At 44.5% G+C, this 23,244-nt stretch overlaps 1 pseudogene, 3 gene segments (V, D, J or C) and 1 further gene; all 5 read left to right on the forward strand.

Annotated features, from left to right (window-relative positions):
* Positions 1–23,244, forward strand: part of IGL (immunoglobulin lambda locus) — an 896,838-nt gene that overhangs the window by 336,946 nt on the left and 536,648 nt on the right.
* On the forward strand, positions 3,345–5,402 carry ASH2LP2 (ASH2L pseudogene 2; annotated as a pseudogene).
* IGLV7-46 (immunoglobulin lambda variable 7-46) lies at positions 6,627–7,066 on the forward strand. The segment is given in 2 exon segments: positions 6,627–6,672; positions 6,762–7,066. Coding segments are annotated over 2 exon segments (351 nt in total).
* Positions 12,993–13,484, forward strand: IGLV5-45 (immunoglobulin lambda variable 5-45). The segment is given in 2 exon segments: positions 12,993–13,038; positions 13,162–13,484. Coding segments are annotated over 2 exon segments (369 nt in total).
* IGLV1-44 (immunoglobulin lambda variable 1-44) lies at positions 17,859–18,326 on the forward strand. The segment is given in 2 exon segments: positions 17,859–17,898; positions 18,020–18,326. Coding segments are annotated over 2 exon segments (347 nt in total).

Consider the following 23,244-nt stretch of genomic DNA (forward strand, 5'->3'; position numbering starts at 1 on the left):
CAGTTCTATGAGATGAACCTCAAAGGCAGAGCTTCTCTAACACAGCTACCCTCAAGAAAGCACGTCAGTTAGCACTAAATACATGGTATAAGTTCCTCAATCAATAGTGCCTACTCACTTCCCTAATTCTTCTTTGTATTATTCTTCAAGTCTGCAGACTCAGGACCTCTGCTGGGGTTGCTGCAGCCAGAGTTCTGGATGAGGGACCTCATAAGCCTTTCAAAACCAGACGCAGGGGGACTACTCAGTCCCCACGCAGCGGGGCTTAAGCCAGGGGTAAATAAGTAAGAAATGGAAGAGCTCAGCATGGCTCTCCCTTTGTCCAGTGAGACAGCAAACTCCAGGGTCCTTTTGATGCTGAAGGTGCGTGGGCTGAGAGTAGGGGGAGACCCACCCTGAGAGCCCAGAACTTCCAGGACAGGACTTGTCAGTCTGAAAAGGGGCCACACTCTTGAGTGGGGAAGAAGGAGGCATCTCTCGCCACAGGCCTGCATTTCTGGTGGCTTCCCCTTCACCAAACTGTGCTCTCTGCTCTGATGTCTATCAGAGAATCTCCTTCAGTGAGACTAAGATCCCAGGACTTTACTAAAAATAACAGCATGAACCAGATAGATTTGTAATGGTACCAGAATTCTCTGCAGAGCAATGAGTACAAATGCAGCTTAACAAAGGCCCTCACACTCATAACTGAAAGGCTCAGTAGGTCTGGGTCTGGGGCAGTACTGGGTGCTGTAGGCTTGTCCTTGAGGCATCTACAAGTAAGAACAACTGGGAAGCCATCCTGCTGTGACCCTGTATCATCTGCTCACTGCTCACTGGGCTCAGCAGCTGTGTCCTCACAGGGAACCAGGTTCAGCCAACCTGGCCTTCTCCACCCCACCTAGAACATGTATTCCGGTGACTGTCTGGACTGAGGTTCTATGAAGGGACTGGCAGACAAGAAGAGGGGGCTGATTTGCATGAAGAAACCATTGCACACCCTTTCCTTTCATCTAAAACCCATTAATGGATACTCTGGGGCCACCCACAGAAGTCTAGCTTGTCTCCTAAATTTGAGAGTTAGGAAGGAGTCATTTCTTATCAATCTACAGGTAGAGGGGCCATCAGCAGCAGAGGGCCAGAGTGAGGGAGAAACTGGCTTCGAGAGACTCATCAACACAGCCACCAACTCTTGGACAAATGGGGCACTTGCTATAACAGTCACCCCAAGCTACTCACAGGAGCCTGAGCCTAGTCCCCTCACCTTATTGCTTTTGATTCTGGTCCATGCCTCTGTTTTCCCTGGACTCTTTGCCCATGTCTGAGTCCAGGGAGGCAGGGGTTGCTCCATCTCAGTCAAAATCTATGTATATGTAACAGCTACTATGGCTTGGAGCAGAGTCCACTGTTGTACCTATGAGGGCCTATCCTGCTCCACCATCCCCTTACACAGGTGACAACTGCTATGTTTCTGATGGACTGACCCTTTTCCCCTGGAAGACACAAGGTATTTATTCCTTTCTAACACAAGGCATATAGTGGAGGGGGTAGGGGTGGGTGTGAAGCAGAGTGGCTTTTCCAGATATAATGCAGTAAGGCCCTGGTTACAGAAGATCATTTCACAAAATTCCACACCCTTTCATGATAAAAACACTCAACAAACTATGAATAGAAGGAAACTTCCTCAACATAGTAAAGGCCATCTATGAAAATCCTACAACTAACATCGCATGCAATCTGAAAGACCAAAGATATGTTTTTGTAATATCTATCAGGATCAAAGCAACAATGCACATTTTCACCACTTCTATTAAGACAGTATTGGAAGACCTAGCCAGAGTAATTAGGCAAGAGAAAGAAATAAACAGAATAAAAATTAGAAATAAAAAGTAAAATTATCTCTGTTTTCATTTGATTTAATGTCATATGTAGAATACCCTTAAAAGTCCCACAAAAGAAAACTTTGTCAGAATGATTAAATGTATTCGGTAATATTTCTGAATACAAAAATCACCATGTAAAATTATCTCATGGCTGGGCATGGTGACTCATGCATATAATCCTAACACTTTGAGAGGCTGAGGTGGGAGGACTGCTTGTGGTCAAGAGTTCAAGAACAGCCTGGGCAACAAAGCAAGGCCCTGTCTCTACAAAAAGAGAGAGAGAGAGATGAAAGAAGAAAGGAAAGAAAGAAAGACAGAAAGAAAGGAGGAAGGAAAAGAAAGAAAGAAAGAAAGAAAGAAAAGAAAGAAGGAAGGAAGGAAGAAAGAAAGAAAGAAAGAAAGAAAGAAAGAAAGAAAGAAAGAAAGAAAGAAAGAAAATCTCTTACATTTCAATACTTGAGCAAATAGGAAACAACCCAAAACAAAATCGGGACCCACACCCATTAGGATGGCTTTACCCAAATAATGGAAAATAATAAGTTGTAGCAAAGATGTATAGAAATTATAACTGTAATGCATTGCTGGAGGGACTATAAAATGATGCATCCACTGAGGTGGCCTTGATGACAGTTGCTCAGAAAACTAAACATAGAATTACCATTTTATCAGAATTTTCACTTCTGGGCATGTGCCTCAAAGAATTGAAAGCAGGATCTCAAAATTGTCCACCCTTGTTCGTAGCAGCATCATTCACAATAGCTAAAAGGTGGAGGCAGCCCAAGTGTCATCTAATGGATAAACGGAATATAGTATACACACACAAGGGAATAGTATTCAACCTTAAAAAGAAAGTTCTGACCCATGCGATGGCATGGATGAACCCTAAAGACATCATGCCAACAGAAATAAGCTGGTTTCAAAAGGACAAATGTTGTCTGTTTGCTCTTATATGAGGTACCTAGAGTAGTGAAATCCATAGAGACAAGAAGTAGAATGATGTTTTCCAGGCATGAAATTTTGGTTTGGGAGGATGAAAAATTCCTGGAGACGAATGGTGGTACGTGACTGTACAACAATATTACTTTACTTAATGACACTGAAGCGTGTGGTTGAAAATGGTTAAAATATGTGTTTTGTGTTTGAATAATTTACCACTGTCAAAAACAAAAAGATTTATATTTGGTGCAGTTACAAGAACAATAAAAATATACAGGACTAGGAGAGTGTGCCTGAGTAGCCAGGACACCCTTCCTTCTGTGCCAGCCCCACAGCATCCTAACAGACCAATAGAGTTGGAGGTACCTCATTACAGGTGACACAAAATAACATGAGAAAGTCTGAGAATGGCCATGATGGTAGGGGTGGGTGCCTGACCCAGTCCAGGAGCAGCCTCTAGTGCAACTATGGCCAAAGAAGGGGAGATGAAGCTGGTGGCAATGGTAGCAGCCTCTCCAGCTGGAGAGGGACATCTGCTGTCCTATGAAAATGGCTCATAGTTGATATATCTGGCAAAGACATGTCATCCTGTCTACCTTTCATGACCAACTACAGTTTTCATAGTGCTTTGGTTAAGCTGGCATGGCAGTCCCAAACACAGGATGAATGCTATAGCATTTATTGATAAATACTGGGAGTGCATGATGACCATTCAGACACCTGGGAAAATGACTAGGCTGGATAACATCGTTAAAACAATGAGTAAAGAGAGAGATTTATTCTTGGTAAAGGACCTCCTGGATCCAGGGAGTAAAGACCTGAAAGAAGATTGCCCAAGATTTGGACTTTTGGATCAGGACTTTGGTAAAACTGATCCTGTTTATGACAAGCAAAAGCAAAGCAGTGCCCTGTCTGTGAGTGGGAATCTGAATGGGGCAACTGAACAGGAAGCAGCAGAAAAGAGGAAGAGGAGTTCAGTGCAAACAGCAAGATGAGATCTCAGAGACCACCAAGAAGGCCCAGAGTGACCCTTTGTTTTCTGCTCAGCGCCTTGCCCCTTACACCTTTTAAAACACCCATTTAACAAGGATGGCTACTGGTATATTCCAACCGAGCCTGAGCCACACACCCTTGGTCCTCAGAAGGTTGAAGACTGCTAGGCAGGAGAAATTATTCCTGAAGACCTCTACGGAGCCTGTTTCTGTGAACAGGTTTTGTTAGTCTAACATGATTAAGCTCTCCAGGTAAAGATCTCCAATGACCAGCTGGCTGACTGTGGTTGGAAAGAAGGGTTACTCTATGATGCAGGCCTCTCATGGGGTATGGAAAGGGACCTGGGACTTTGAAATCATCAAGGATGAGTTGTCACCAGACACCACTGCCAATGGGGTTGGTCTCAGTCCTAAGGTAACCATCAATCTCCCTTAGGTTATGATAAACTTAGCTATTCTTGGCAGAGCAAAAGGGAACCAAGTTCCACCTGTCCACTGGCAAATAATACTCTTCTAGCTACGGATGAGGACAGGTCTTGGGATTTTATATTAATCTTCCTGAAAACACAGAGACAGCCAAGTTATTGCCTGATACTTACAAAGATAAGGCTTTGATAAAATACAAGAATTATTTGTATTTTGAGGAAAAAGACATTTTGGATAAAGCACAGAAGAGCCTAAAACAGATTCTGCACAGGCAAATAATATTTTATAAAAATGGTGTCAATTAATATGTTGAATAAAAGGTATTTTTGAGGGGGTTGATTTCCAGCCATCTCACAGGAAAACAACTGCATGGTTTGCATTAACTTTGGACTGTGCTGCGAGTGTCCTCCAAAGGATCTCGCTTACTCCCTTATGAGTGACATGGGCTGGGATGCTGTGGTAGAGCACACTCTGGCTGATGTCTTGTATCTCCTGGAGACAGAAGTGGATGGAGGCACAGTCCTCCATGGGAACCCTGAACAGGTCCCTCTTTCTTTTCAAATATGGACTTTCTGGGGAATGATACTGGACGGCTTCTGTAGTTGTTGTTGTTTTTTGAACTGTCTCAAATGTTTTCCCAAAGATGCTACAGAACATAGCCTATCCATTTAGCAAGTGAAAAGGCTGAATAAGACTGGGAGAGACTCCCTGCTCATCATCATTCTTCTTCCACTTCCAGTGACTGCTCATATTCTGTGCCATAAGCCAACAGCTACTGATCCCAAGATCTTGTAATCCCTCTGTAAAACTGGTGCTGTACTGCATACCTTGCCAGCTGGGACTTTTTATCTTACTGCATTTTCCAGGAATAAATAACCTTGTCCCAAAAACAAACATATTTAAAGACATTTCCTTCTGTGGACACTGATTCCATGCTATCTGTTTTCCAAGGAAGTGGTGAGCCCGTTTCTGAGAACACCTGGTATCAATGGCTGTCCCTTCCAAACCAAGCAAAAAGTGATTTCTTGTCGGTGTGGATTTGGTTTTGTTATTAATTTTAAAACATACCTTTGAAGACTTAGATCTCTGAAACTACTAGATCTCTAGAAGTGTAATTGTGAAAAAAGTTTGCTTGCATCATCAACAACATGAAAAACTCTTTCTAAATAAAATTTGTTTTGAAGTTAAAAAAAAGAATAATGCAAGATTGGAAACTGGGAGGTCTGAAGATTCCCAAGAGCACTCTCAATTCTGAAGCTAATTTTCAGCTCAGGGACCCCAAACAGCCCTTCACTTCTTATGAGTCCCTAGAAGGACTCACATGACTCACTGAAAACTGTGACATTCATTAATGTGATTTTTCTACAGTGAAATAATACAGATTAAAATAATTCAAGGAAAGAGACACATGGGCAGAGTTCAGGAGAATTCCAAGCACAAGCATCCATTTGTCCTCTCCCAGTGGAGTAATAGACAACGCTGCATTCTGCCGGCAACAATGTGTGATTCTATGTAGGAAGCATTGCCAACCAGCAAAGCTCACCCAGGCTTGGTGTCCAGAAAAATTTTGATTGGTGGGGTGGGTGAGAGTGGGGTTGTTATGTAGACCTTGATGACCATCCTCATGGCTCACTTGAGTTTCCACTGAATTGACAATAAAACTTCAATCTTCAACCTTTGGTCATTTTCTTTTAAAAAATTTTCTAAAGAAAATTATTTTAAAAAGTCTCATATAAACGAGCTGTTTATCCAATATGAGGCTCAACGCAAATAGTTTCAAAAAGTCAGTAGGTCATTAAAACAATTATTTAGTCATTCAAACTAAATATTTAGTCATTCAAACGTTGTTATCTGGTGTTCAGATAGCAACGAACACCATGTAGCACTAAAATCGCATTATAGTCACAGGGGCAGGATTTCAGCAACAGCAAGAGAAAGTAATACAAACAGGAATGAGCAAAGAATAGACAAGTAATGGGTATGAATTGGCCTGGGAAATATTGTGGCAATGTCCAAAGACAAATCAATAGTTATTTGTTAAAGAAGTGAAAGACAACACATTCTCAGTCCAGGAAAGCCACCAGGGGGTGGTCTGGGTCTCTTGGATTGTAAGAAGCTCAAGAGGTTCAAACTTAATGAACCCTGCACAGATGCTCACTGACTCATGGAAATGTTAGAGCAGCTGCTTCCTCCCACAGGACAAATCCACAGCACACAGCCACCCTGGGCTGGCCCCCCACAGTGTAGCTGCTCTCAGGGCTGTGGACCCAGGTGGTGATAAAGGCAGTAAAGATTTGCATAAAGCAGCACACAGCACACCCCCTCCGTGCGGAGAGCTCAATAGGAGATAAAGAGCCATCAGAATCCAGCCCCAGCTCTGGCACCAGGGGTCCCTTCCAATATCAGCACCATGGCCTGGACTCCTCTCTTTCTGTTCCTCCTCACTTGCTGCCCAGGTTAAGAGAGATTTCAAATACCAGCCTTTGGAGGGATCCCTTTTTCTCCCTTTCTAATTCCTAATATATGTCTGTTTTTTTTGTTTCAGGGTCCAATTCCCAGGCTGTGGTGACTCAGGAGCCCTCACTGACTGTGTCCCCAGGAGGGACAGTCACTCTCACCTGTGGCTCCAGCACTGGAGCTGTCACCAGTGGTCATTATCCCTACTGGTTCCAGCAGAAGCCTGGCCAAGCCCCCAGGACACTGATTTATGATACAAGCAACAAACACTCCTGGACACCTGCCCGGTTCTCAGGCTCCCTCCTTGGGGGCAAAGCTGCCCTGACCCTTTTGGGTGCGCAGCCTGAGGATGAGGCTGAGTATTACTGCTTGCTCTCCTATAGTGGTGCTCGGCACAGTGACAGACCCATGAGAGGAACCAAGACATAAACCTCCCTCGGCCCTTGTGATGTGGAGATCACATGATCAGACATGCCAGATCCCAAGATAGCCTACATGTGGACCAGCCATAGAAAGGGGAAGGAAAGGGTTTGAATTGATTCCTATTTCTACTTAAGTCTTGATGTGTAGGAAATGTAAGAATGATTTGGGAGTAACTGGATCAAAAAAAAAAAAGGAAAAGTTAATTGTTTTCTATTCTAAAAGGAACACTAACAGCAGGATCACATATAAAGGCTGGGTCAAAATGCATTTCCTCCAGAAAGAAGCATCTTCAGTGTATAGGCTTTCTGAGCTAAGAGCAAAGAAACTTTTTTTGCATATTACTGAAGTTTGTTTTATTGAGTTACTTTCAAACCAATACCTCCAGAAAGAAGCATCTTCAGTGTATAGGCTTTCTGAGCTAAGAGCAAAGAGAAGAAACTCTTTTTTTGTATATGACTAAAATTTGCTTTATTGATTTACTTTCAAACCAATACATGCCTATTATATAAAATAAAAATATTAAAAACCACCAAGTTCACTGCAAAGCTGTCTCATCAGAAACAATCCAATTTCTTCATTTGGATGCATTCTTTCATTTTTGTTCTCAATATTTCCACAATGGGGGTCATACCTTGTGCTTTTTCTCTCTGGTTTTACACATCTTTATGCCTCCTCCCACACCCTGTGCCTCTCTCCTGACTCTCAGGGTCCTGGGCAGTCAGGGCTCACTTGGTAGCCTGCACAGTCTGTCTGTGACAAAACCAGTCACCATCTCCTGCACTGGAATCAGCAGCAATAAGGTTCTTGGAATTGTGTCCTGGTACCAACAATGACAAGGAAGTGCCTCCAAACTTCTGATGTATAGAAGCAAATATCTGCCTGCAGGGACCCAGGATGGATGCTCGGGCTACCAGTTTGGCAAGGAGGCCTTCCCAAGCATCTCTGGGCTCCAGGCTGAGGACAACGCTGATCTCAACTGTTGGCTTCAGACAGCCCCCTGGAGGCCCAAACAGTGCTGCAGTCTGGGGGAGTGAGACAGGAACATGTCAGGTCTCCTAGGAGCACGACCTAACTACAGCACCATACAACCAGGACAGCAGGGCTGTTTACCATTTGTGTGCATGTTTGCTGGTGCTTCTGCTAACCAGGACCCAGGGCTCAGATTAGGGACAGTGATCTAGAGAATGCTGCTTTGTTTTCTCAGGGCCAGACTTCAGAGAGAGCCCTTGGCCACAGCATTGTCAGACTGCCTCAGAAGAATCAGAAAGTCCTTGATTTCTGGAACAGGCTGCCCTGGGAATACAGCCATGATAGGCCAGGGCAAGCAGGGACAGAATCCAGCTGGGTCTGTCTCAGGCATGTGCACTAATAAAGATCTCTGTTTGTCCTTATTGTTTACTGAATACCTACTATGTGCCAGGCTCAGGTCTCATGCTAAGGATACAGAGGTGAGAAGACAGACAGGGATTCTGTCTTCACAGGACTGACACCATGCAGAAAAGTGAGGGCCAACAAGTCAATAGGAGTAAGGCATATTGTGGTGTATCCAAGAGGTGACACTGGCCAGAAGGGGGAGAGCAATAGGAAGCCCTTAGGGAGTTGTAAGCAAGGAAGACACGGAGTCTGATGGGAGACTTAGGAGAAAAGTCCAGCTTCTCCAAAGAAGATGAAAAAGGAGGGGAGAGAGTGAAAGTGGAGGGTCTAATTAGGAGACGGTAGCTTTCTCCACATGAGAGATGAGGTCTCCAGCAAGTGATGAAGCAGCTGAGGTGGTGAAATATGCGTGACCCACACCATGGTGAGTAAGACCAAAGGAAAGAGGTCACTAGGTTGAGGCCCAAAGCTTGTTCCTGTGATATAAACCTGACAACATCCTCTTGCCGTTACTGAGTGTCTCACACACCTTTTTTCTTTGGATATCTCCTGGGACTCAGGACTCATTGCTGCCCTTCCCTCGTATTCAGTGAGATTCATTTCGAACATCACTTTTCACACCCAGAGAGAGACCTGGCTCCTTTGTATGGAGCAAAAGCACTGAGGGTCAGGACAGAACATTCTACAGAACATGGGATGATGCCTTACACACTAAAGGACTGCTGTTAAAGCTCGTGATCAAACCTCCCCGGAGCTACATCAGAAACCACGAGAGGGGAGGTGTCAGCGCTTAGGTGCCTGATTTCAGGGCACACTAATTTGCAGTTTGTCCAGCTCCCTCCCAGGCATTTTTATCCACCCTTCTCTTTACCTCCTTTCATCCTTGCCTCCTTCTCAGGGCGGGCCTCCAGGCCTGTGGTGTCTCTGCTGCTCTGTCTCCATCACAAACAGAGCAGTAGGGAGATTATCTGATAATGAAGTTCCCTCCTCATACTCAGTTATCTGGTTCCCCTTAGGAATTCTTCTGCATCATGGGAATGTTCTGTTTTATTTCTGCCCTACAGTAGGAACCCAGCCATTTGTGAGGCCAAGGAGATTGACCTCTTTCCGTTGAAGCAGGATTATATTTAACACATGTATTCAAATAACATCATCAACTTATGAACAAGTCAATCCATTCTTCAGAATTATAGAAATGCATGTCTCTCAGCTGTCAGCAATTGGCCTCAGATCCCTAGAGTGGCGAACTTGTCAGGGTGGGGTCAGCCACATGAAGATGTTTCTTTATAGTTAGTGACTCTATTCACTGGGTTTCCCCTGTTGAGATCCAACCTCCATGAGACTGTTTATTGTTGTTGTTGTTTTCTGTCTTGTCATTGCCCAAAATGCTGCCTGGCACTAAGGAAAGACTTAATACATGTTTATTAAATATGTGAGTTCACCTACATTGGAATCCCAAAAAGAGGTACAGATCTGAGGTCAAGTTAATAATTTTTAAAAAAATTCTGGATATTTTGTGTTTGAGATTCCAAGTTCATTCAATAGAAGATATTAAGTATGAAGTTTTGCCTTTGGATTTGGTTAGCAGGAGAAGGATATGGATATGAAAATACAAATGGATCACACATACCTCCCCATGGCCCAGAGTCTTGAGTGCCTAGCTGCTCTCTGCAGCTCCTAATCACAGCCTCTGTTCACTCATTTATGGTCTGATTCCCATGGATCCATACATGCTGGATCCCATGGGCTTATGTGGAGAAAGTGGAGAGAAGGTGATGGCCCTGCTAAAAAAACCACAGGAAGCAAGTTGATAATGAAGCAAATTCTGGGCACAAAATCTCTCAAGAGCAAATAAACTGCAGAATGTGGGTGAGTTGGGAAAATTTCTGGCAATATTTATATAACTAAGAAGGTTTACATTACATATACTTCAACAAAATATTAATTCTAAAGCTTCCAATAAGTCATATGATCAATGCAATTCAAACATTAAACTCATCAGTCCCAAGTCCCATAATAGACTTTGATGGAGAAATTCTTGAAGAAAGAATGATGGGTTTGTGAGCTCTGTGTCCACAGAAGAGATATTTCTGCACTAGGAGGACTGGGTAAAGCCATTAAATAATTATGAATGTAGTGCCCATCTGGACTTTTTTCTAATCCAATATGCAATGCTGTGGGCTCTGCCTTTGCAAATCGTAGCATTCATTGTACTTCCTCCAGTCTCCCAATTATTACAATAAATTAATTTTAAACATGAATGATTAAAAGACAAATCTATTAATGTTAGAGTCCTTGGAATCTGTTGCTTTAATGCACAAGAATTATGGAACACTTCAAATGTATATATTTGTTAATTTATGTACCAATGATAAAATACTGCTTCCTTGATCTGTTCTAAAAATCACCTAGAAAGGGAGTAAGTTGATGGGTAAAATGGGTTGAAAAATTAAACAAGATGAACCACATTGATGATGGTCAAAGTTGGCTGATTGGTGCAAACAATTCATCAGAAAATTCTCTGTATATTTGTATGACTCAAACGTTTCCATGCTAACCAGTGAAAATATCCTTTTTTGCAATGAGATGTTTATGTTCTGCTTTTACCAGGTGTACCATGTGGACAAAATGTAAGCTTACACTTTGACTTCAAGTGGAAGCCCATCTTCTCCCAACAGGCAGAGGAGAAGCTGGTGTGGAGAACATGGAAAACACAGGAGCTCAGGGTTTCCCAGGACAGAGAAGTGAGTGAGCCTGGAGCCCTAAAAGCAAGGGCAGGGGCTGTGAGTTGGGCTGTGGGGGAGTTCTGGGGCCACAATGTGAAGGGCATGTTGCTGAGGTCTCAGGGTTCAGGTTTCATAATAACAATGAGGAGTTACTCAAGGGGCTTAAACCAGGGAGTGCCCTGCCTGCCCTATCTGAGTGACAGGGATCTCTCTGAATGCCTTGAGAAGAGAGTGTCTGAGAAAAGTGAGTGATCCTGATTCTAGATTATTCGCTAAAGCACCTCGTGAGTCTAGAAACTCAGGGGCCATTTGCACAGTTAGCACAAGAGTAGATGTGGCTAAATTGAGAAGTGATGGTCTCTGCTTTTGTCTCCTGAGACATCCAACTCATTTGCAAGAGAATTTTGCAGGTAAAATACATACTGATCTTTCTAATAAACTGAAAACACCTAGTAAAAAAATACACGTGGTAATAGCACAATGCAATTTGTATAACAGCTAGAACAAATTCTTGACCAAAAAATATGATGCAACTGTGCAGAAAATGACGTTTTACTTAGGGAGATAATGGCTAATTTCATAAAATAGTGAAATATGTCACACTGTTCACTGGTAAAGGTAAGTCTAGCAAATCTATTAGTTTTCCTGTATCACAAAATCGAATCAAATCTCTTTAAAACGTATGAAACCATTGTAAATATAACTTGTGTTGCATTGCTGTCTTTTTTTTTTTTTTTTTTTTTTTTAGACAGAATCTCGCTTTGTCGCCCAGGCTGGGGTGCAGTGGCCCAATATCAGCTCACTGCAAGCTCCACCTCCCGGGTTCCCGGGTTCACGCCATTCTCCTGCATCAGCCTCCCGAGTAGCTGGGACTACAGGCGCCTGCCACCACGCCCAGCTAATATGTTGTATTTTTAGTAGAGACGGGGTTTCACCGCGTTAGCCAGGATGGTCTTGATCTACTGACCTCGTGATCCGCCCGCCTTGGCTTCCCAAAGGAATTGCTGCCTTTAACATGTCATTGATCCTTTATTTTTCCTGGAAATTTTTCATTATTCACCATCTTTTTGAACAACCCCAGCTGCCCTTCAACCCAGCTCCTCAGCTGACCCCTTTTCCATGATGCCCACTCTGATGACATATGTGGGCAAATAGATTTTTCTAAAATGCCCTGTTGGGGTGCTGACACCTATAAAAGTTATGTATGTACAGGTCTGCACATCCCACAGACCAAGACTACTTCTGGGAGTGAGAAATCGTAGTAATAATGCATAGCATGATAGAAGCAGTGTCTGGGAATCAGACCATGGATATGTGAATACAGACAGTGACTAAAGAGCTGCAGAGACCAGCTGGGTTCTGAAGTCTCTGAGCTTTGGGAAAGTGTGTTTCCTGGGACCAGCGTCAGATGTTGTGGGGCTGCCCTGTGGTTCCGACACAGCTGCTCAGTAATGAGCATTCACTCAGAGAAATCCAGGCCTTGAGGCTGGGCCCTGTGCTCACTGATGGACACTCGGCAGCTGTGTCCCCTCTGGCCTGGCAGAGTTCCCTGAGCAGGGACCTGTGTATGGTCTCAACAGGTGCTTCCTCCCAGGGCCTTGCAAAAAGAAAAGCAAACCTTCCTCCTGCTCAGTCTGCAGAGAGAGCTGAGCTGCATCCCCAGGTCTCAAGGAGGGGCCCGGCAGTCCCTGGGTGGAAACACATTTGCATGAGCAACCCCTCCTCTGCAACAGTGGGAAGAAAAGGAGGCCTGGGGCAGCCCAGTCCCACTGCGGGGGTAAGAGGTTGTGTCCACCATGGCCTGGACTCCTCTCCTCCTCCTGTTCCTCTCTCACTGCACAGGTAGGAATAGACTTCAGAGACCAGGGTCAGCCACCCAGCCTGATTCTGACTCTTCTGGCAAAGATCCCTGAAAAACTTTACCCTGGTTTCTGCCTTAGCACCCATTAATGTCTGTGTTTCCAGGTTCCCTCTCGCAGGCTGTGCTGACTCAGCCGTCTTCCCTCTCTGCATCTCCTGGAGCATCAGCCAGTCTCACCTGCACCTTGTGCAGTGGCATCAATGTTGGTACCTACAGGATATACTGGTACCAGCAGAAGCCAGGGAGTCCTCCCCAGTATCTCCTGAGGTACAAATCAGACTCAGATAAGCAGCAGGGCTCTGGAGTCCCCAGCCGCTTCTCTGGATCCAAAGATGCTTCGGCCAATGCAGGGATTTTACTCATCTCTGGGCTCCAGTCTGAGGATGAGGCTGACTATTACTGTATGATTTGGCACAGCAGCGCTTCTCACAGTGACACACACAGATGGGGAAGTGGGACAAAAACCTCACCCTGCTCTGGGTCTTGCTCTGTACCAATTTTTAAATTTTAAAATAACTGGCCTAGGCACAAACTATATTTGGAAGTACTTTCTAGTTGTAAAAGGCTCTTCTCTCAATTTTCTATCCATTTTTCTGAAGTCTCAGTAAAACAAAACAAAACAAAACAAAACCACCTGATGACCCTGAAGTGTTGGCTGGTTGTCCACATGTGCTAACACCAGTGCCTGTGGAGCTGGACGTTTTTTTCTTGAAAGAAGCAAAATGAGGCTTTCCTAGCTCACATCATGGTCAGAGCCTGGGGACAACATAGCAGGTGAACAGTGCCCTGCAGCATGGACTCTGCTCTTCCAGCGTACGGGCAGAGACCTCCCCTTCCATCCCCAGTAGTCTGTTCTCAGGGCTGTCTGAGGCTCACTGTGTCCCAGGAACAAGGCACTCAAATATGAAATGCTGCCTGAGGACTCAGGTCAGGGAATTCTGGATATAGTGCTGACCTGGCTCAGTCCTGGGTACCTGCATTTCAGTGGCAATGTCAGGAGATGGCGTTAGATATTAGGGTAACTGCGGGCCCGATGCCAGTAAACCTCTATGTAGGACATGACAGAATCAAGGGGAGGCTCCACCATGGCTGAGACAAGCCAGAGGCTGCTCCTTGGCCATGGGGGAAGTAGATCCCATGGATGTGACTCCTGTAGCTCATCCCACTCAGGACCACGGGGACTGCTGAGGGTGGGTTTCCTGATCCCTCAGGGCCTGACTGTGTTCTCTTCTCCTCTCTTACACCATTGGAGCTTCTCACTGACTCAGGTCTAGTGGTGAGTCTGTGGAATATCTGGATACAGAAACTGCCCAATATTTGCTTCAAGTGACTCCTCCCTGGGAAACTCTTGAGGAGGCCCCCACCTCAAGGTCATCTTTTTCTCCATGGGGAGCAGCAGAAACATTGGCCATTCCCATGGAAATGGCTATGAGGCCTCCCAGAGAGAACCCCTAAGTTTATGACCTAGGACAATAGTGATGGTCCCTCAGGGGTCCCAGCCTGCTTCTCCTGATCTGGGTTTATCCACACAGCCTCCTGGAGTGCCTCTGGGCTCCAGCCTGAGGACCTGGCTGGTTATCAGTGTCACACAGCTGCATCCTGACTCCATGTTACCAAGGGTTCCTGTTCCATGTGGAAATGATAGAAAGATCTCCCCACTCATCCTGTCTCCCCATCCCTCCTTTATCCCTGCCTGTGACCAACACCAGTTCATGCCAAGACTTCAGCTGTCAGTTGTGTTACTGAAAGCAGAGCAAGGGTTCAGGGACGATAACTCCTTTTCTTACTGGTCTCCCCAGTGGAAAGAGAATCAGTTTGTTTCAAGAAGTAAAATAAGCTGCCCACACATGGTGGGTGAGGATGAGGTGGAAATGACAAGAAAGAATCCAGCCTGGCTGGGCATGGCAGCTCACACCTGTAATCCTAGCAGTTTGGGAGGCGGAGGTGGGTGGATCACCTGAGGTCAGGAGTTTGAGACCAGCGTGAGCAACATGGTGAAACATCGTCTCTACTAAAAATACAAAAATTAGTTGGGCATGGTGGCTGGCGCCTGTAATCCCAGCTACTCGAGAGACTGAGGCAGGAGAATCGCTTGAACCAGGGAGGTGGAGGTTGCATTGAGCTGAGATCATGACACTGCACTCCAGCCTGGGCAACAGGCAGAGACTCCATCTCAAAAAAAAAAAAAAAAAAAAAAAGAAAGAAAGAAAGAAAAGAAAAAAGGAAAAGAAAGAATCTAGGCAGTGTGACCCAGAAGTCCAGGAGCCTTCGGCCTGGTCCCACAGGTGTCCCCTCCTTTTTGAACAGGTATGCTGGCCATTTGCTGAGCTCTGAAACTGTGGGAGTGATAACAAGAAAGGCGAATCCAGCCTGTGTGACCCACAGATGTGAGAGAGGTAGTCTGATGCTTAAGAAAAGGTGGGATCAGCCTTCTGAAAGGTCTGGATCTGGCTTGGCCTAGAGCTGGTGTAGAAGAGAAGCAAGAGAGATGCTTAGCCTTGGGTGGCCCAGGCCCAGCTGTCCTGTCAAGGGGCTGAGCTCTCTGCAACATGGAAATCCTGCAGAGCCATCCTTGGGAGGCTGTGATCTCAGTAGGATGCAAAAATGCTAATGGAAGTGAGCAGGGGATGGTTTATGGGGGAATGAGGGGACGGTGTGGGGTCAGGTGTGGTAAGGAGGGTGCACCCTGAAGAGGAGAGTGTCCATTGTGACTCACAGGAGGAGGAGGCCCGGGGCCCAGAGCAGTGACAAAAGGAGGACCTGGAAGGACCTGGGCCCTCAAGACACACAGAGACTGGGGTTTTGGTCTGTCCCTGAGGGTCCCTCAGGAGGATCACATAAAAAATCCATAGTCAGTGTCCTCTGTCCAAGGCTCACTGTCCCAGCTGTTGTCCCTCCCGGATCCTCTGGGTGTCCACATCCTGTAGTTTTGGACCTGTTCTTCTCTCTGCCCTCAACCTAACAGCTGATGGGGCATCCACCAGGAAGCGCATCCGTGGGCAGGGAGGAGGCCGTGGGCAGCCTTGTCCTGTATGTGAGACACTGCTCAGACTCGGTGACCCCCTGTTCATTAACGTGGGAGGAAAGGAAAACAAAATTCACTGTGAACATCTATACATCATCAAAGAAAAAGCAATGAGAAAAAACAGGAAGTGAAGCCCAGCTCTAATAGTTTATTTCTACTTGGAAATAAATAAAACTTAATATGCCTGATGTGTTATGTAAATACAACAAACATATTTTAAAAACTATAAAAATTATGTAAAGGCACATGGCTTACACTAAAAGAAACATTTAAAATAACAACACCCTTGAAATGCAATCCCAAAACACAGCATACATTTTATTTCAGTTCCATGTATGGACTGGTTTTATTTAAATGTCTGTATTAGGTTTCACTATTTGGTTGTTTAAATGGAGCATTTAAAATCTTATTGTATTACAACTTATATCAACATAATCATCTTGCTGTTTTTCTGTATCCCCTTAAAATTCCCTAAACAAATATTTATTAAGAGCCCAGGGTGTATCATGCCAGAACTCAGGCAGTCACAGACATAACCTGTTTCATTTTTCATTTTGATCAACAGAATTATGTTTTCTGTTAAGCTTGTTGTTTTTAGTTCATTAGATTCTAGACGTCATTACAGATCAAAGACGAAAAATTTCTATCATCTTTAAGCCACCCCCACAACACTCACTACTGAATTTGAACCAAAATCTTCTCCTAGAAATCCTCGTTGGCGGCTCGATAGTAAGAGCTGCCATGTATCAGGCTCACCTGAGGACAGACGCTGGTTAAACCAAGTTGAAGTTTTAATTCTTCCCATCTTCAAAGACTGAGCATCTTTGCTCTTTTTGCTCATAAGTGAAACACTCCAAAGTCATTTGCCAGGATCCCCTGTAGATGGGCATTCAGTGTACAGACTCCTAGGCAAGATCCCTGGTCACAGTATCCAAATGACTTTGACTGCAAACCTGGGGAAGTAGAGAGAGAACAAAGATTTACCAGAAAAACCCTCTGGGAATGTCTTCCCAAGGCACCCTAGAGGGAAGAGCTCCCTTTCTCTTCAGCTCCACAGGATCCACAGAGGAAGGAGAGCTCTAGCCAGCAGGAAGGAGCCACATGAGAGGAGAGGACCAGGTGTCCCACACAGGTGGGGAAGTGAGTCCATGGGGCTGGTCCCCGCTCTGGGCTTGATCCTGACATAAGAGGACTCTGTGTAGACACCACCTGAGTCCTCTGCAATGTACAGCCACAGAGCCATGGACAGATTCACTCCTGAGGAGTCCAGTAGAGCGCGAAGACTGCCTTGAGGTCACAGCGGGAAGACACAGGTGTCACTTGAGCTGGCCTGGACCTGAGAGAGGGGGCAGTGGACAGAACAGAGGGGAGGCAGTGGTGTGAATGAGAGGCTCTGGTCACCTTATCATAGAATGGTTTACCTTGGCTGGACACCAGGGGACGCTGGGGGACCATTTCTGAGAAGACGCGCGGGGGGCGGGGGTGGGCGGTGATGGGAGCACAACCGGCCACCTGTTGTGCCTGTTGTCCTCTGCTCAGGGCTCACAACTGTGTTCTCCCCACCCTCTGGGACCACAGAGCTCCACCCCTGCCACACCCTGACATCCTCAAGGCAAGGAGCCTGACCCAGGGCTCAGGGTGGGGTCACAAAGCTGGGGGGGTCTGATTTGCATGGATGGACTCTCCCCCTCTCAGAGTATGAAGAGAGGGAGAGATCTGGGGGAAGCTCAGCTTCAGCTGTGGGTAGAGAAGACAGGACTCAGGACAATCTCCAGCATGGCCAGCTTCCCTCTCCTCCTCACCCTCCTCACTCACTGTGCAGGTGACAGGATGGGGACCAAGAAAGGGGCCCTGGGAAGCCCATGGGGCCCTGCTTTCTCCTCTTGTCTCCTTTTGTCTCTTGTCAATCACCATGTCTGTGTCTCTCTCACTTCCAGGGTCCTGGGCCCAGTCTGTGCTGACTCAGCCACCCTCAGCGTCTGGGACCCCCGGGCAGAGGGTCACCATCTCTTGTTCTGGAAGCAGCTCCAACATCGGAAGTAATACTGTAAACTGGTACCAGCAGCTCCCAGGAACGGCCCCCAAACTCCTCATCTATAGTAATAATCAGCGGCCCTCAGGGGTCCCTGACCGATTCTCTGGCTCCAAGTCTGGCACCTCAGCCTCCCTGGCCATCAGTGGGCTCCAGTCTGAGGATGAGGCTGATTATTACTGTGCAGCATGGGATGACAGCCTGAATGGTCCCACAGTGCTCCAGGCCAATGGGGAACTGAGACAAGAACCCCCTTCCTCCTCTGTCAGGAGGGTGAGCCCCAGCAGCTGCTGCTCAGGCCTGGCCTGTGGCTTCTGCTGCTGCAGCTTCCTTCATGGGTCCAGGGGCATCCAGGGCCCTGCCTGAGAGTGGAGGCTCCTCCTCCCCTTCAGTCCTCAGAGTCAGGAACAGGACATCCAGGAAACAGAACATCCTCCTCCCTGCAGCTTAGGACACAGGGTCTCTGCACTGAAGTCCTGGGCTGAGGTGGCAGGTCCAGTTGTGTCATCTCAGACCCACCTCTGATGGGGAACCCGTGTCTCCGTCATCCTCCTTTTCCCATTTCCAGGAGTTTCCAGAGTGGTGTCTTCCTCCCCCTGCTCCTCAGTGTGAATCCCTGTGCTTCCTTTCTCTCCAGCCTATTCTTTTTTAATAAAACTCCTTTCATGTAGGAACTATGCACATCTAATAAACTACCCATATTTATAACAGGAAATTAGACAAATTTTGGCATTTTTCTGGTTCCTTGAAAACATCACCATCCCCGGGAGCTATTGTGACCATCCCGGCAGCTCCTCATGATGCTTGTCTCCTCCCTCCCTCCCCTAATGGCCTCTCAGGAAGCCACAGATCTGCCTCTCTCACTACTGTTTGGTTTTTTTTTCTGGAATGTATCAGTGTTATCAAACGTTATCTTCCCATTTGTTCAGGCTTCTTTCACTCTGCACACTTGCTTTGAGATTATCCCTGCTGTCGCTGAATTGCACCCATCCCTTAGAGGGCTCATTACTATCTTTAAGGGTCCTTAGGCCATTTTTTTCTGATTTTATTCATGTATTTCCTTTAAAGTTTGAATTTATTGTTCATCAAACAAACTCTATGGGTGATGTTCATCTAAGGTGACAGGACAGTCCGTGATGGTTTGTCAGGATTCTTGCTTCTTCAGTTCTTTTCTTGGCTCTCTCTATAGTGGAAGAGGTTCTCATCTTTTATTTATTTATTTATTTATTTTGGGGTTTTTTTAAGGGTTTTAGCGATTTTCCCTTTTTAATTATTTTTAAAATTTGTTATTTTATTTTAATAGGTTTTTGGAGAACAAGTGTTGCTTGGTTACATATATAAGTTCGTTAGTGGTGATTCCTGAGATTGTGGTGCACTCATCATCCAAGCAGTGTACACTGTATCCAATGAGTAGCCTCTCATCCCTCACCTCCCTCCTATGCTTTCCCCCGAGTCCCCAAAGTCCATTGTATCATTGTTATGCCCTTGGGTTCTCATAGCTTATCTCCCACTTATGAGTGAGAACATACAGTGTTTTGTTTTCCATTCCTGAGTTACACCAGTTAGAATGATAGTCTCCAGTTCCATCCAGGTTGCTGTGAATGCCATTATTTTGTTTATTTTTATGGCTGTGTAGTATTCCCTGGTATGTGTATGTATACATCACATTTGCTTTACCCACTTGTTGATTTATGGACATTTGAGCTGGTTCCATGTTTTTGCAATTACAGATTGTGCTGCTATAAACATGCGTGTGCAAGTATCTTTTTTTGTATAATGACTTCTTTTTCTCTGGGTAGATACCTAGTCGTGAGATTGCTGGATCAAAGGGTACGTCTATTTTTGTTTCCTTAAGGAATCTCCACACTGTTTTCCACAGTGATTGTACTAGTTTACCTTCCCACCGCCAGTGTGAAAGTGTTTTGTTTTCACCACATCCATGCCAACATCTGTTATTTTTTTATTATAGCTATTCTTGTGATAGGAAGGTGGTAACACAGATTGTGGTACCGATTTGCATTTCCCTGATTATTAGTGATGTTGAACATTTTTCTATATGTTTGTTGGCCATTTGTACAAGTTCTTTTGAAAATTGTTTATTCGTGTCCTTAGTCCACCTTTTGATGGAAGTGTTTATTTTTTTCTTGATAATTTGAGTTCTTCGTACATTCTAGATATTAGTCATTTGTTGGATGTATAGATTGTGAAGATTTTCATCCACTTTGTTGGTTGTCTGTTAGCTCTGCTGATTCTTTCTTTTGCTGTGCAGAAGTTTTTTTCGTTTAATTAAGTCCCATCTATTTATCTTTGTTCTTGTTGCATTTGCTTTTGTGTTCTTGGTCATGAAATATTTGCCTAAACCAATGTCTAGCAAGGTTGTTCTGACGTTATCTTCTAGAATTCTTACCGTTTCAGGCCTTAGATTTAATTATTTGATTCATCTTGAGTTGATTTTTGTATAAGGTGAGAGATGAGGATGCAGTTTCATTCCTCTACATTTGGCTTGCCAATTATCCCAGCACCATTTGTTGAATATGGTGTCATTTTTCTACTTTATGTTTTTGTTTGCTTTGTCAAGCATCAGTGGGTTGGAAGTATTTGGTTTCATTTCTGGATTCTTTATTCTGTTCCTTTGGTCTGTGTGCCCATTTTTATATCAGTACCAAGCAGATTTAGTGACTATGGAGTCAAACTTTACTGGAGTTTGAAGCTGGGTAATGCGATGCCTCCAGATTTGTTCCTTTTGCTTAGTCTTGCTTTGTCTATGCAGGCTCTTTTTGGTTCCATATGAATTTTAGGATTATTTTTTCCAATTCTCTAATGAATGATGGTGATATTTTGATGGGAATTGCATAGATTTTGTAACTTGCTTTTGGCAGTATGATCATTTTCAATGTATTGTTTCTACCCATTCATGAGCATGGGATGTGTTTCTATTTGTTTGTGTGTGTCATCTATGATTTCTTTCAGCAGTGTTTTGTAGTTTTCCTTGTGGAGGTCTTTCACCTCCTTGGCTAGGTATATCCTAAGTATGTATTTTGCAGCTATTTGCGAAAGGGGTTGAGTTCTTGATTTGATTTTCAGCTCGTTTGCTGTCATTGTATAACAGAGCTACTGATTCGTGTGCCTTAATTTTGTATCTTGAAACTTTGCTGAACTTATTTACAGTTCTAGGAGCTTTTTCGATGAGTCTTTAAGGTTTTCTAGGTATATGATCATATTATCAGCAAATAGTGACAGTTTGAATTCCTCTTTGTCAATTTGGATATCTTTGATTTGTTTCTCTTGTCTGATTGCTCTGGCTAAGCCTTCCAGTACTATGTTGAATAGAAGTGGTGAAAGTGGGCATTCTTGCCTTGTTCCAGATCTCAGGAGAAACGTTTTCCACTTTTTTCCGTTTAATATAATGTTGACTGTGTGTTTGTAATAGAGGGCTTAATAGAGGACATAAGTTATGTCTTTTCTATGTCAATTTTGCAAAGAGTTTTAATCATGAAGTGATGCTGGATTTTGTCAAGTATTTTTTCTGCATGTATTGAGATAATCATGTCATTTTTGTTTTTAATGCTTTTTATGTGGTATATCACATTTATTGACTCACATATGTTAAACCATCTCTGCATTCCCTGGTTTGAAAACCACTTGATCATTGTGGACTATGTTTTTGATAGCTGTTGGATACATAGAATAATTTAGGAAGGAGTCCCCCTTTTTCCTTCCTGTGGATTAATGCATTAGTCAGCGTTCTCTAGAGGGACACAAATAATGGAATATATATATATGTTTATTAAGTATTAACTCACATGAACACAAGGTCCAACAATAGGCTGTCTGCAGGCTGAGGAGCAAGGAGAGCCAGTCCGAGTTCCAAAACTGAAGAAGTTGGAGTTCCATATTTGAAGGCAGGAAGCATCCAGCATGGGAGAAAGATGTAGGCTGGGAGGCTATGCCCATCTCTCTTTTCATATTTTTCTACCTGCTTATTTTCTAGCCATGCTGTCAGCTGATTAGATTGTTCCCACCCAGATTAAGGGTGAGTGTGGCTTTCCCACCCACTGACAAAAATGTGAATCTCCTTTGGCAGCACCCTCAACAGACACACACACCAAGGATCAATACTTTTTTTCTTTTTTTTTTTTGGAGATGGAGTCTTGCTCTGTCACCCAAGCTGGAGTGCAGTGGCGCGATCTCCGCTCACTGCAAGCTCCGCCTCCAGGGTTCAAGCAATTCTTTGCCTCAGCCTCCCGAGTAGCTGGGACTACAGGTGCCCACCACCATGGCCGGCTAATTTTTTTGAATTTTTAGTAGAGACGGGGTTTCACCGTGTTAGCCAGGATGGTCTCGATCTCCTCACTTTGTGATCTGCCCGCCTTAGCCTCCCAAAGTGCTGGGACTACAGGCATGAGCCACTGCGCCCGGCCAATACTTTTTGTCCTTCAATCCAATCAAGTTGACGCTCAGTATTACTCATCACAAGTCCACTCCTTGTCAGCATGAACCCATATACAACTTGTGATATCGTACATAATCTTCAAATAAAGACAATAATAAAGTCATAATTACGCCTAACATAATACAATTATCCTTCATACAACCAGAACGCACGAATCCCTAACACAAATACTATTACATCAAGTTACTGATACTTAAATGCTGATGTGACGTCAATAAATCTTATGTTATATGATAAAGGAGAAAGGAAATAAAATGAAGATATTTTCTTAGTACGAGTTTATAGATGCGCAAACATGTTTTTAACAAAAGAAGGAGGAAATACTCTTGACAATTACACTCCTCGTTTCTGCCGCTGGCCATAGCTGGTATTGATGACTACCTTCTTCTACTACCCATTCTGTATTCCCTTTGCCTTCAGCAAGCACCTCAGTAGGTTGTGTTTTTTTTCCTGGTGGAGTGACCCAAATCTTCATTCCTGAAGGGTCCCATTGACCTTAATCACAGGGCATGGTAATAGCAAGAAATGCCCTAATGCATCTCCTGTATTCCATGCATGTTCTTCAGTAACTCCATTGTGGAGTAGTAAACTGATTTCATTTTGATAGTCTGGGTCAATCACCCCAGCCGACACTGTAACTCCCTTCTTAGCCATTGACTTAAAGGTAGGAGAAGCCC

The sequence above is a fragment of the Homo sapiens genome, chromosome 22, assembly GCF_000001405.40.
Source record: "Homo sapiens chromosome 22, GRCh38.p14 Primary Assembly".
Classification (NCBI taxonomy): Eukaryota; Metazoa; Chordata; class Mammalia; order Primates; family Hominidae; genus Homo; species Homo sapiens.